This window comes from Homo sapiens, chromosome 19, assembly GCF_000001405.40.
Source record: "Homo sapiens chromosome 19, GRCh38.p14 Primary Assembly".
NCBI classification, from domain to species: domain Eukaryota; kingdom Metazoa; phylum Chordata; class Mammalia; order Primates; family Hominidae; genus Homo; species Homo sapiens.
The window spans coordinates 57,598,462-57,613,152 of NC_000019.10; the positions used below are offsets into that span (position 1 = coordinate 57,598,462).

The 14,691-nt window shown below is 46.1% G+C and overlaps 1 protein-coding gene across 7 annotated transcripts, besides 2 other annotated features; it reads left to right on the forward strand.

The window, feature by feature from the left end:
- Positions 1,424 to 14,261, forward strand: ZNF530 (zinc finger protein 530). 7 transcript variants are annotated; one of them, NR_135924.2, is made up of 4 exons: positions 1,424 to 1,673; positions 2,267 to 2,318; positions 5,816 to 5,945; positions 14,042 to 14,261. NR_135924.2 is itself a non-coding variant. In NM_001387563.1 (4 exons), exons 1-4 carry the CDS (start codon positions 1,644 to 1,646, stop codon positions 14,120 to 14,122), a joined length of 999 nt encoding a protein of 332 aa, NP_001374492.1. In that variant the 5' UTR covers positions 1,424 to 1,643; the 3' UTR covers positions 14,123 to 14,261. The 7 variants fall into 7 exon arrangements, 5 of the variants coding, with proteins under 5 accessions (NP_001374492.1, NP_001308910.1, NP_001374490.1 ...); NR_135923.2 differs by lacking the exon at positions 2,267 to 2,318 and adding an exon at positions 7,225 to 9,366; NM_001387563.1 differs by lacking the exon at positions 2,267 to 2,318 and adding an exon at positions 7,225 to 7,982.
- Positions 1,472 to 1,681: an enhancer, noted in NCBI's record as "active region_15148". NCBI's record gives its function as "activates an Ori minimal core promoter by ATAC-STARR-seq in GM12878 lymphoblastoid cells {active_cell/tissue: GM12878}" and the evidence as "EXISTENCE:reporter gene assay evidence [ECO:0000049][PMID:35858748]".
- Positions 1,772 to 1,891: an enhancer, noted in NCBI's record as "active region_15149". NCBI's record gives its function as "activates an Ori minimal core promoter by ATAC-STARR-seq in GM12878 lymphoblastoid cells {active_cell/tissue: GM12878}" and the evidence as "EXISTENCE:reporter gene assay evidence [ECO:0000049][PMID:35858748]".
- Positions 14,262 to 14,691: the final 430 nt, after the last annotated feature.

The window sequence follows — 14,691 nt, forward strand, 5'->3', positions numbered from 1 at the left end:
AGGGCTACCCAAATAGTTGGGAAAACCTTAGTACAGGATATGTCTGTGAGAATGTTTATGGAAGATATTAGCAGTTGAGTCTGTAGACAATGTAAAGGAGATCTGGCCTCATCAGTGTTAGGGGCCAACATCCAATGCTTTGAGAGCCAAGATAGAACAAAAAGGCAGAGAAAGAGCAAGTTACTCTCTTCTTGCCCTGGATCATCCACCTTCTGTTTTCCAACATTAAAGTTCTTGGATCTTGGGCCTTTGGACTCTGGAACATACAAGAATGACCCTCACCCAGTTCTCAGGCCTTCAGCCTCCAACTGGGAATTTCACCATAGGCTCCCTTGGTTTTCAGGCCTTCAGATGCAGACTGAATGATACCACCCACCTTCGTGTCTTACCAGGTTGCAAAAGGTATATCCTGGGACTTCTTAGCCTCCATAACTGGATGAGCCAAGTCCCATAATAAATCCCCTCTTGTACATCTATGTATCCTATTGGTTCTGTGTTTCTCTGGAGAATCCTGACTAATACAATAGGTTTCAGTAATTTTCATTTCACAACTGTTTTTCTAAGATGATCTCAACTCCCCATGCAAGCACTGTCCCTGCAGTAACAGTATCAATGATCAAAATTTCCCATCAAAGAGATGAAAGCTAGGTGTCCCAAACCTTTATTCTGGTATTCTGATGTCCCCTTTGCACAAGTGCTCTGACTGTGAACACTACAGACACTGTTCTACTTTAAAATGGCATATGCTAAGTGGCTCTTCTGTTTAGAAAGTTGCTACAATCCTAAAAGAAGCATATCTAAGAATATGGAGGAAGAAATATTATATGAATACAACACTGTTCCTTACAGGGCTAGACACACTCACCGATTACACAGGCAGGAGAGGCATTTTCTGTGAGACAAAATTCCTCTTTCGTCCTCCAGCTTCGGTGCGATCTAACGGATGTTTTATCATTCCTGTCATGGCGCTATGTAAACTCTATTTCCCTTATTCCTTACTGAGCATAATGAAACTCACAAAGCTGACTCTAACGTTCTACTTTACATAAATGTGTGGAGAAAGAAGGTAATGTTTACTAGGCTCTCGCCAAGGGTAGAGGCATTTTGTATCTGAATAACTCTGACTACCTAGGTGACTAGTTGTACACAATACCCTCCAAAAATCTCTGTATGGTACCTTAAAAAAGCAGCGAAGCTCCTCCCTTGTCCAAGGAGGCTGGAGACACCACCTCTCAGCCTTCCCCTCCACCTTTCTCCATAGCAACGGGGTCATTCCTCCCTGAGGTCCAGGAGAAGGGCGACCTCTGCCAGCCCAAGAAGCGGTGAGAACTACATTACCCAGAGGCCCGTGAGCCAGGTTCTTGGCGTGGAGCCAATGAGGCTCAGGGGAGGGACATTTCCGCTCTGTCCAACTTGTCGGAGCGGAACTTCCGGCGTCCTCCCTGTGGCGGGCACTTTGGCTTGTGTCAGTTCCATCCGCGGGTGCCGGATCTGGACCTAGGTGCTGACAGCGAGAAGGCGCGAGGAGAGTCGTTTTCTCAGCTGCACAGCCGGGGCCTGACGGTCGCCGGCGGTGGTGACAGCTTTGCTCTTGTCTCCGCCCGGATCGTCCACCGCTCCCGGCCCGCTCCGCCCAGAGTCCGATGGCGGCGGCACTGAGGGCCCCGACCCAGGTGAGCGCTGCGTCCTCCCGGCCTCCTCTGCCCTCCCCACCCGAAACTGAGGGACGCGTGAAGGGTTTTCTGCAGCCCGGACCGCACTGTCCGGCACAGTGAGGCGCTGGTGCTGGATCTCGTTTCTGGTAGTGTGGCAGGGAGCGGGAGAGCGACACGGTCAGGGGGCTGCGCGGGCAACAGCTTGGAGCTGCGCCTGAGCCGGGAGGCTGGGGAGACCCAGGCCGGCCTCACGCGTGCAGGTAGCAGAGGGTGGGGCAGCGCCGCGCTGCATTGGCCCCACTGAGTTTCACCAGCACACTGAGGGCCACAGCGCGTAGGACAGAAGAGGGGCACGGCCCCAGTCACGCTTCTAAAAGTTTCACAAAAGCTGTTCAGAGGAACGCGCTGGAAGGGCAGTGATGATAGCAGGCATGGAGGGACCTAGTCTTTTTACGAGGTCACAAAGCTGGTAAAAGTCAGCACCAAGGACTGACACCCAGATACAAAGCAGTCATCCCTGGACACCTGGCTCTGGTGTTCCACATTGGAACCAGAAGTCCATGGAGCCACACTTTGGTCACCTGCCTCTCAGAACATGTTTCCTCCCACAGATTGCCACTAGTACTTACAGGTCCGTAAGAAGCACTTGAAGACCCTACAAGGGTAAGTGGAGGAAATCCAGAAGCTCATTGATTCCAGCAATGGGATCTCTAGGATTGGGACTGTGGTGACCTGGGATTCTTTACTTACCGCTTTTCCAGGCCTTGAGCCTAGGGACTCTGAACAAAAATATGTCCAGGGTGAGTATTATATGAGGTGGTGCCTGTTGCTGGCAAATAATAGGATGAATGTGGAAGTTTGTCCCAGAGATAAGTACAGGTGTTTGGAGCTGCTTGGAGGTGAGGCTGAGCTGGTTAAGAGAACCTCAAGTCTCATTTCCTTCTCATGGGAACAGAGAGCAGAGGTACAGGAGTTAGAAACTAAATGGCTGTCTCAGATGTCTTTGTTCTGGAGATGATGGCAGCAATGAAGATTTGGAGCAGAAGAGGGAGGTGATCTTCCCCAGGCCTCATGAGGCTCCTGTGGCTGAGCACAGACAACAGACTGTGGGTTTAAGGGAGTTGGTAGCAATACCAAAGAGGAAAGAGGAGACTACTGCAATAGTCCAGGTGAGTGTAGATGATGTGGGCCAGAGTAGTGGCCACAGTGTGGCAGAAATGGTTGAATTTTGGATTGTAGGTCGGCTCTGATTTTCTGGTATTGGGACTGAGAGATAAGAAGGGGTGACTCAAGGCTTTTTGAGTTTAGTAGCTGGAAGCATAGAAGCTCCATCTACTGGGAGAGCCAAGTAGATAGTAGAATTGTTTTTCACTCAGGACATCAGGAATGTGTTTTGTCCATGTTAAAAATATGAGATGTTTTAGAGAATAAGTAAGTAGCTATATCAAGTGGCTAGGTGGACACACAGGTCTTGGACTCTGAGGAAGGGTGCAGGATAGAGACTTCTACAAAGAGTGGAGGATATTATTGAACTAGGATGGAGCCCTATGTCTGTTAGGCCATTTGCATTACTATAAAGAAATACCTAAGGCTGGGTAGTTTATAAAGAAACAAGGTTTATTACAGCTTATAGTTCTGCAGGCTGTACAGGAAGCTTAGCGCTAGTCTCCACTTCTGGTGAGGGCCTCAGGAAGCTTCCAATCATTGCAGAAGGCAAAAAGGGAGCCAGCAAGGCAGGAGGGAGGCACCAGTCTCTTTTTAGCAACCAGGTCTCATGTGAACTTATTACTGTTGGAAGGATACTATGCCATTCATGAGGGATCCACCTCCATGACCCAGATAACCTCCCACTAGGCCCCACTTCCAACATTGGGGATCACATTTCCAGGTGAGATTTGAAGGGGACAAATATCCAGGCTATATCAGTGTCTTACCTTGGGTTGATAATGAAATAACCTATATTGGTGGCTTAAACAACAAAAATTTGTTTCTCACAGTTCTGCAGGCTAGGAAATTCTACATCAGGGTGCCTCTAGATTCACTTATTTGTGATGGGCTGCTTCTTGACTTGCAGTGGCTGCCCTCTTGCTTTTTCCTCACATGGCCTTTCCTGGGAGGGAGTATGTAAAGAAAGCAAGGAATCTCTTTCTTTCTATTCTTACAAAAGCATTAATTCCATCATGAGGGCCCCACTCTTTTGACCTTATCTAAATCTAATTACCACCCAAAGATTCCATCTCCAAATACTATCACATTATATTAGGCTTCATTGTGTTAGTGCTTCAATGTAAGCATTTTGTGGGTGGGCGTGGGGCAGAAACATTAAGCCCATAACATCATAGATCCCATTTAGTAGTGGGATTCCTGGTCATGATGATAATATTAATAGCAGGCCAGGAAGGGGAAGGGTGGGAGCCACAAGAGGGTACCATACTTGGGTATCTGGATGGATGTTGTGGAAATCACAAATACAGGTTATAGAGGGAAGCAGCCCTAGGAATAATACAGAGAGAGGATACCAGGCAGGTGGCCAAGGGTTATGAAGGATGAGTGAATATAAGATGGATGTGGAGGCTGCATTAGTCCATTTTCGTGCTGCTGATAAAGACATACCTGAGACTGGGAAGAAAAAGAGGGTTAATGGACTTGCAGTTCCACATGGCTGGGGAGGCCTCACAATCATGGTGGAAGGCAAGGAAGAGCAAGTCACATCTTACATGGATGGCAGCAGGCAAAAAGAGAGTTTGTGCAGGGGAACTCCTCTTTTTAAAACCATCAGTTCTTCTTTTTTTGAGATGGAGTCTTGCTCTGTTCCCCAGGCTGGAGGGCAGTGGTGAGATCTCAGCTCCCTACAGCCTCCACCTCCCAGACTCAAGGGATTCTCCTGTCTCAGCCTCCCAAGTAGCTGGGATTACAGGCATCCACCACCACACCCAGCTAATTTTCGTATTTTTAGTAGAGACGGGGTTTCACCACATTGGCCAGGCTGGTCTCAAGCTCCTGATCAAGTGATCCACCCGCCTTGGCCTCCCAAAGTGCTGGGATTAGAGGCGTGAGCCACTGCAACCAGCCTTAAAACCATCAGTTCTCGTGAGACTTATTCACTATTGCGAGAACAGCACAAGAAAGACCCACCCCCATGATTCAGGTACCTCCTACTGGATCCCTCCCATGACACATGGGAATTGTGGGAGTTACAATTCAAGATGAGATTTGGGTGGAGACACAGCCAAACCATATTAGAGACATAATGGGATTTCAGACAAGATGAGGCTGAAGCCAGACCTAATGCTTTACTGCTATATAGCCTCACCAGGATCTTATGACTGGCTCCTATGCCTAGGGAGTTTCATGCAGGCTGGTGGATCAGTTTAGGGGCAGAAGTAGTCATCTGGGAGCATCACTTAACCTTGGGTGGAGGGCCACCAGGCAAGGTTTTGAATGAAGGGTAGCAAGACAGTTACTGTTACTGTTACTGTTTAGTGCAGTTACTGTTTAGTGCAGTACAAGTTGGAAAGGGCCATGTGTATCTGAGATATGTATGTGGTTCTGGGTGGCTGAGGTTGATGAAAGGAGTAGACTCAGGTAGGAAGGGCTTCAGAGCAGGATATGGGGCTGCCTGTGGCAGTAGGGACCATCATAGGTCTGGGTAGTCCTGGAACTTGTTTGAATTTGCAAGCACTTTCTAGATGTCTTGTGCTGAGTAACATATAGGAAGGCAGGAGAGATGCCTGTGTTGTGGGATCGGGGTGGAGGTGGCTGAGGGAGTGAGTTGGGTAAGAGAGGTGTGGTGGAAAGAGTGATGCACATATGAAGACGGAGTGTGAGCTTTTGTTTCATGAGTCTGGACATTGAGGACATGAGGGTGAAATGTGAACCCAGACCTTCAGTTGTGTTTGGGAGCCATGGTCTGAGGGATTCCAGGAGAATTTATAGACACAAGAATGTGGTTTCTATCTGTCCACCTGCCTGTTGTTGCTGTGGGAGAACACAGTGACCAATGAGACCATGAGAGAGTAGGCATCAGTGGCATCAGGGCCTGTTGTATTCGCTGAGGTGGGGAGATGGGGAGGAGGGTGAGCCAGGGATGGATGTTTGGGGGAATCAACTTGGGGTCCTAGGAAAGATGCTGACCATGGAATGAACTGTCCCCATCATAGCAGGTTTTTGTAGCCTTTGAGGATGTGGCCATTTACTTCTCCCAGGAGGAGTGGGAGCTCCTTGATGAGATGCAGAGGCTCCTGTACCGCGATGTGATGCTGGAGAACTTTGCAGTTATGGCATCCCTAGGTAAGGCCCTCCTATTCCTCCCAGTTTCCTTTGTGGGTCTCTCCTTTTCCCCTGTCCCTGAGGCAGCTCTGTCCTTTCTTCAGTTAGACCCTGAGCTCTACAGACCTTCCCACTTTCTTGGCATATGTATTCTGAGGGACATCGCCAAGCAAGGCACTCTCAGACTGTCCTAACACCTGTTTCCTCTAGGTATGCAGTGAAGGGTCTGGGAGACAGGATCTTTCTTTCAACCTAAAGGATTTGTCCTTGCCTTCTCCATGACAGGATGGCTTTCTCCAGTTCTAGGATGCTCTTTGTTCCATGTTCTGCCTTTTGCTTCTAACTAAAATCTCAAGCTGCCTGTTTCAGGAATTGCAGGTATCATCATGTTAACTACTTAACTGGTCCATAGGCTTTTCATAAAGATCCACCTGAAAGATTTTCTTGTAACATTATTTTTCACTGCTGTAGTTTGTCATGTGCTGAGTTGCTCTGTGCCAGTGCTGGCTGTGCACCTCTCTGGTCTTCCCTTTAGGGCATACATCTTATAGGTCTGGTATAGTTGCACAACTGGGATTCGAGGATGGCTCTGGTTGCTTTACAGGGTGCAAACAGCAAGATAGTCTCAGAGGAGGCCTGGCCCTAATGAGTGACAACTAAGGGAGGGCAAGACACTAGGGCTGTTTCTAATCACACCATAAACCTGTCCTGAGTTCTCAGTGATTGGGTGCTGATTCCATAGGACATATATCATTTCTCTCTTTTTTTTCTTTTCTACACATGTTCTGATTTTTATTTCATCCATGACTTCCAGCCCTTAGCTGCTACCAATTTCTGGCCTCCATGTGTCACCTGTTCCTTTCCAGTGCAACTTCTAGAGTGTTCTCTAACACTGACCCACATGTAATATGTTGTCAGATGTGCACATGTTTTTAAATAGTCCTTCCACACCTAGTATTCAGTTCCCATGGGTGTCTACTGGGCCTGGACACCAATAATCTTCTGTGCAGTGTACCGAAGTCCTCTCTTCTCATCAGGGGAGGAAGTCCTGATAAAAGCTTTTGGCAGAATAGTGAGTCAGAGACCCTACCTGTTCTCTCTGAGTTGTGCCCCATCTTTGTGTCTTTCATCTCATAAGGCCTCCCTTGTTCTGTGACTTGTAGAGGCTTTTTTCCACAAATTTCCACCAGCTCTCATATCCTAAAAACATTTTCTTAGACTCATTCTTTGACACACATTTTTGATGTAACTTCTCACACCATAGTAAATCTGTGTTTTCTCAGCATTTCTCTTCTTTCAGGTTGCTGGTGTGGAGCAGTAGATGAGGGGACGCCTTCTGCAGAGAGCGTTTCTGTGGAAGAACTGTCACAGGGCAGGACTCCAAAGGCAGATACATCCACTGATAAGAGTCACCCCTGTGAGATTTGTACCCCAGTCCTGAGAGACATTTTACAAATGATTGAGCTCCATGCCTCACCCTGTGGACAGAAATTGTACTTGGGTGGAGCATCAAGAGATTTCTGGATGAGTTCAAACCTTCACCAGCTCCAGAAGCTTGATAATGGAGAGAAGCTCTTTAAAGTGGATGGGGACCAGGCCTCATTTATGATGAACTGCAGGTTCCATGTGTCAGGAAAACCCTTCACGTTTGGGGAAGTCGGGAGGGACTTTTCAGCCACCTCAGGACTTCTCCAGCATCAGGTGACTCCCACCATTGAGAGACCACACAGCAGGATTAGACACTTGAGAGTTCCCACTGGACGAAAGCCTCTCAAATACACTGAATCCAGGAAATCTTTTAGAGAGAAATCTGTATTCATTCAACACCAAAGAGCTGACTCTGGAGAAAGGCCTTACAAGTGCAGTGAATGTGGGAAATCCTTTAGTCAAAGTTCTGGCTTTCTTCGACACAGGAAAGCACACGGTAGAACAAGGACTCATGAATGTAGTGAATGTGGGAAATCATTTAGTCGCAAAACTCACCTAACTCAACACCAAAGAGTTCACACTGGAGAAAGGCCTTATGACTGCAGTGAATGTGGCAAATCCTTTCGCCAGGTATCTGTCCTCATTCAACATCAACGAGTTCACACTGGAGAAAGGCCTTATGAGTGCAGTGAATGTGGGAAATCTTTTAGCCACAGCACTAACCTCTATCGTCACAGGAGTGCCCACACTAGCACAAGGCCTTATGAGTGCAGTGAATGTGGAAAATCCTTTAGCCATAGCACTAACCTCTTTCGACACTGGAGAGTTCACACTGGAGTAAGGCCTTATGAGTGTAGTGAATGTGGGAAAGCATTTAGTTGCAATATCTACCTTATTCACCACCAAAGATTTCACACTGGAGAAAGACCTTATGTGTGCAGTGAATGTGGGAAATCATTTGGCCAGAAATCTGTCCTCATTCAACACCAAAGAGTTCACACTGGAGAAAGGCCTTATGAGTGCAGTGAATGTGGGAAAGTTTTTAGCCAAAGCTCTGGCCTCTTTCGACACAGAAGAGCTCACACTAAAACAAAGCCTTATGAGTGCAGTGAATGTGAAAAATCATTTAGTTGCAAAACTGACCTCATTCGACACCAGACAGTTCACACTGGAGAAAGGCCTTATGAGTGCAGTGTATGTGGGAAATCTTTTATCCGAAAAACCCACCTCATTCGACACCAGACTGTTCACACTAATGAAAGGCCTTATGAGTGCGATGAATGTGGGAAATCCTATAGCCAAAGCTCTGCCCTCCTTCAGCATAGGAGAGTTCACACTGGAGAAAGGCCTTATGAGTGCAGAGAATGTGGGAAATCTTTTACCCGCAAAAATCACCTCATTCAACACAAGACAGTTCACACTGGAGAAAGGCCTTATGAATGCAGTGAATGTGGAAAATCCTTTAGCCAAAGCTCTGGCCTCTTAAGACACAGAAGAGTTCATGTGCAGTGAATGTGGGAAATTATTTTGTCACTTTTTTTTTTTTTTTTGAGATGGAATTTTGCTCGTCACCCAGGCTGGAGTGCAATTGTGCAATCTCAGCTCACTGCAACCTCCGCCTCCTGGGATCAAGTGATTCTCCTGCCACAGCCTCCTGAGTACCTGAGATTACAGGCACCCACCACCATGCCCAGCTAATTTTTGTATTTTTAATAGAAACAAGGTTTCACCATGTTGGTCAGGCTGGTGTTGAACTCCTGACCTCAGGTAATCCACCTGCTTCAGCCTACCAAAGTGCTGGGATTACAGGCGTGAGCCACCATGTCCGGCTTGTGTTGTGACATTTAACACAAGATTTCCCAAAGAAGAAAGGCCTTATATATGCTGTGAATGTGTTTTTGCTTGTTAGTTTGTTTTAACTTGGTATGACGGCACTGGAGGCTAGCCTTTGAGAAGAGCCTTCTCTGATGTGACTCATGTATCCAAACATCCATGGATTTCCCATAAATTTGAGGTATGTGGGAAGCATGTGTAGCTATGTTGTACTCTCTAAACCTGCCCAGGGACCTTACCAGATTCGTGTCACTGCCAGTTTCTGCGGCTGAAGCCTTTTCATCACTACCCGCTGGGAGACCCACAGAGTGTGCATCAGTCACCACCCCAACATGCTCAGGGAGGCAGAGTTCTTCCATTAGTTGGAGGAAAGCACGAGTAGTCTAAGCTCTTAGGGGGGTTTCTCATTTCCTCCTGTGGCTACATAGTGCATATAACTACCCCAGTGTTGGCCCCAGGACCTGATCTGAGTTCTGCTGGCAGCTTCCAGAGGATTGCCTTTTTTGAGGACATTGTTGATCTCAGGCGATGCTTGTGATGAAGCATTTTTTAGCTTCCACCACTTACCAGGAACTGCCTGTTAACTGGCTTGTGCAATGATAAAGGCCTTTTGTTTAAGTACCTTTAATCTTGTAAGTTGTATTAATTGTTGAGTAGTTTGGAAACATAATAGGACTCTGTCAGCTTAAAAGGGTATATAACATTTGTGGGGATTCAAATTTTGTTTGCCTCAGAGGGGACAGTATGCTCACAGAATATAGATTTTGCTCCATTTTTGGCCTATTTCGCATTGTTTCCAAGGCCTTCTAGGAGACACTGCAGGGCTTTCTGGCTCTGATTTTTGCCTGCATGTGGGCTCAGAGGTCATTCTGCAGAGGGGGCAGTTGTGGCAACTTCCATTGTTTCTGGAGACAACACAAAGTTTTTCTTGTTGAGTGAGGATATCACATAATGCCCTGCAATGTTTAGAATCCCTTAATGAGGTCCTGTGAAGGAGCTGTGTCCCTTGAAACACAGAATTCAGTGAGCTAGTGTCCCTAGCTATAAAACCATGGGGCTGGAGCGAAACATAATTGGTAAAGAAACGCTGGGTTGAATAATAGGGAATGGAGGAGACTGCAGCAAATTAGATGGACTGTTCCTCATATAAAGTTTCATCCGGCCGGGCGCAGTGGCTCACACCTTTAATCCTAGCACTTTGGGAGGCTGAGGTGGGTGGATCACAAGGTCGGGAGTTCAATAACAGCCTGGCCAAGGTGGTGAAACCCTGGAAGGCTGAGGCAGATAATTGCTTGAACTTGGGAGGCAGAGGTTGCAGTGAGCTCAGATCACACCACTGCACTCCAGCCTGGGTGACAGAGCGAGACTGCGTCTCAAAAAAAAAAAAAAAAAGATCCATTCAGGCCAGTCACAGTGGCTCATGCGTGTAATCCCTACACTTTCCGAGGCCATGGCGTGCAGATCACTTGAGGTCAGGAGTCAGAGACCAGACTGGCCAACATGGTGAAACCCCATCTCTACTGAAAATACAAAAATTAACCAGGTGCAGTGGTGCACGTCTATAATCCCAGCTGCTCTGAAGGCTGACGCACCAAGAATAGCTTGAACCCGGAAGTGGAGGTTGCAGTGAGCTGAGACCACACCACTGCACTCCAGCCCGGGTGATGGAGTGAGACTCTGTTTCCAAAAAAAAAAAGGCTGGGCGTGGTGGCTCACGCCTGTAATCCCAGCACTTTAGGAGGCCGAGGTGGGTGGATAACCCAAGGTCAGGAGTTCGAGACCAGCCTGGTCAACATGGCGAAACCCTGTCTCTACTAAAAGTACAAAAATTGTAAAAGTAAAAAGTAAAAGTAAAAGCTGGGTGTGGTGGCAGGCACCAGTAATCCTAGCTACTCAGGAGACAGGCAGAAGAATCTCTTGAACCTGGGAGGTGAGCCGAGATCGCACCATTGCACTTCGGCCTGGGCAACAACAGCGAAACTCTGTCTCAAAAAAAAAGTATCCACAAATGTTCCAGTGACTATGACTGCAAGATCACTGTGTGCAGAAATCTCTAGAAATGTGTGTCTTGTAGCTCAAGTTATTACTAGAGACAACAAGGGTTTTGTGGATTCCTGTAGCCTCTCTGGCCTGTTTACTTCAAGGCCATTGCTGCACAGACAAAAAAAAAAAAGGATGAAGTCAAGAGAGATTCGGTTGTCCTTGGTGCGGCTTTTGTGATCCAGTAGCAATCCTCTTAACGCTGATGGAAATGGCCTTCATTGCTCACCTGTATTTCCTGCCACTGAAGCAGGTCTGCCTCTACGTGGCCTGGGGAGCTAGATGGTAGAGTCAATAGAGACTTAGTAAACCAGACTTTTTGAAGTGTCAATGACCAAGATTGTTATTGCATCCATTAAAAAAAAATCAAGTTATAATTGATGTGGAATAAATTATATATATTTAAAGTGTACAACTTGATAAGTTCTGACATAAATGTAAACCCATGGAAGCATTGTTGTAATCATAAGAATGAGCATATCTCACCTGCATATTTTACTTTTGCTCTTTTATAATACATTCCAGAATATGCAGGCAACTTTTAACATTCCTTTACAATTGATTGACTTGAATTTTCTGGAATTTTATTTTAGACATCATAAAGTGTGTATTTTTTTGTGCTTTTATTTATAAAACTTCCCCTTAGGTAAGGGCCTGAGGTTAACTTTGGAGGTGACAGATATGTCCAACACCATTGATAGGGTGATGATTTCAAAAGTGTACATATGTGTGTGTGTGTGTGTGTGTGTGTGTGTGTGTGTGTATACTTACTGTTTTAATATGTGCAGTACATTGCATGTTGATTACACCTCAATGAACCTATAAAAAGTTATTCCATTTAAAAATCTGGGCCTCCCACTTCTATTGGAAACTGGACAACTTGACAGCCTGCAGTGTTTTGAAACAGCATGGATTGGGTGTCTTGTTTCCAGCATATGTCCCATGTTCCCCAACACTGTTCCTCAGGAAACAGGGAGGAACAGCTGTTCCTCAGGACCTGCTGAGTGGCCATATTCCCTGAAGGCCAGAAAAGTAACAAGGTGACCGTTTTGGACAAAATTCTGAGCTTAAAACCTTGCCTGAATCAGTAGCCCCCAAATTCATTGTGCACATCTTATAATTTCCAAGAACACACATATTAAGTGAATATTTTTATGTTTATAATTGTGAAATGGTCTGTTCAGGGCTGTCATTCCTCAACCTTTTTTTTCAACCACCCTCTCATTAAGGAAGCATATGTATTAATCATGGTTTCTGTTTTTTGTATTATATGTCTTGACATCTTAAAATTCTTGCTGGTGACAGAGAGACTTACCCTACCAGAGGTAGCTAATTTCTAAAAATAGTAAACAACTACCTTGAGAGCAAGGCAAGCCAACTACCCTCTTTATCTAACTCTTACTCACCAAGCCAATACTTTCCCTGCACTAAATCATCCCAGCGTTACTGCCAGTGATTTTGCAGCAGTCTGCAGCAATTTTGGTCCTTGCCTCCTCAGAAGAAAATTCAACCGAGGAGGCAGAGGTTGGCTTAAGGCACAGGAAGAGACCAAGGCAAGTTTTTTTTAGCAGGAGTGAGAGTTTATTAAAATGTTTTAGAGTAGGAGTGAAAGGAATCAAAGTACACTTGGAAAAGGGCCAAGTGGATAACTTGAGAGGTCAAGTGCCCCACTTGATCCTTGGCTTGGGACTTTATACATTTGCTTATTTCCCAGGCTCTTTATTCTCCTTCCTTCGGTAGGCTGTTGCTTGACTACTGCATGCACAGTGGTCTGCCAGTACTTGGGAGGGGCCGCATGCAGTTTGTTTACTGAAGTCATACATATACTCATTTGGGGTGATCTTCCCTTAACAAGTCATGCACCCCCAGAGGAAGGTCAAATACCAGTCAAATTTTGCCATCTTGCCCCATTTTGTGCATGCTCGAAACCTTATCAGGGGTTGTGGTTCACTGGCTCCAGGTGTTTTCTATCTGTTGGAAAACTCTTTTCCCTCCTGGTACCAATCATGGCCACTTATCATCTCAGAGGGATAGTTTTATGCTTTCCTGTCCTTCACCCAATGAGAGCTGGACATCTCGGGGGTCCCTCTCTTGTTTTGTTTATTATCTCAGAGGAAAAGATTTATGATTGCCTGTCCTTGACTCCAAAATTGCCTGACATTCCTGGGGTCCCTCTCTCCTGCCCTACTCTTATCTACCTACTCTAACACCAGGGTGAGGGTATGAGGCAACTAGAGACCACCCCTGTAAATCGAAGCCAACCAGAATTATTCAGACTAGCCAGTACTCAGCTGTTTGCTCTGATCTGGCCTAGGCTTTCCCCTAGCTCTTGCTTCTTCCTTTAGACTGAAACCTGTTCCTCCTGTGGCCCTGCATGGCATACTGTACTTCCCATTTCTAGGGAAATTCTGAGTAACATTAAACTTTTATTTCACTGGCATTGAGCTCTCCATGTCCTTTTCCAATAAAGACCCATCCACAAATTGGCCTCTCTTGGCTATGTAATATTACATATCTTTCCAGCACTTCTCAATGCCTTCACCTTCTCTTTTCTCCATTATGCCTGCCACATTCTAACATTCCATATAATTTAGCATTTTTTTCATATTTCCTCCTCTTTCTTGAGTACAGCGTAAGCTATTGGGGTCTGTCTCTTGTTTTGTAAATGTCCCATGCAGTTAAGATAGTGTCTGAAATACAGTAGGTGTTCCTTGAATATTTCTTAGAACTATGAATAAGCATAATACTACAGCATCCCTGTTCACCTTAATATTCTGATAGCACTTTCTAAATGTTTTCTTTACTTCTCCTTCCAGGTATTATTGAGTGTTTTCAAGAATGAAAAGAGGCCTGGCATGGTGGCTCACATCTGTAATCCCAACTTTTTGGGAGGCTGAGGTGGGAGGATCCCTTGAGCCCAAGAGTTTGAGGCTGCAGCAAGCTATGATCGTGCCACTACACTCCAGCCTGTGCAACACAGTGAGATCCTGTCTCCAAAATTAAATAAATAAATAAAATTACATTTTGGAGACTAAACGCTGCTTGTAGTCATAGTTCTAACACAGCTGTGTGCTCAGCTTCATTTGCTCACTTCTCAGAATTCAATGTCTCCTGCTCAAATTTTGCTGTCATCTTAACCGTTTTCACTTATCACAGATATGTTTCTCCAGGTCCATTTCGTCATGTATCTGTGAATAACTACAGAATTATTAACTTTGAGTAATTTGGCCGGGCGCGGGGGCTCTCCTGTAATCCCAGCACTTTGGGAGGCTGAGGCGGGCAGATCACGAGGTCAGGAGATCGAGACCATCCTGGCTAACACGGTGAAACCCCATCTCTACTAAAAATACAAAAAGTTAGCCGGGCATGGTGGCAGGCGCCTGTAATCCCAGCTACTCCGGAGGCTGAGGCAGGAGAATAGTGTGAACCTGGGAGGCGGAGCCTGCAGTGAGCTATGGTCGCACCA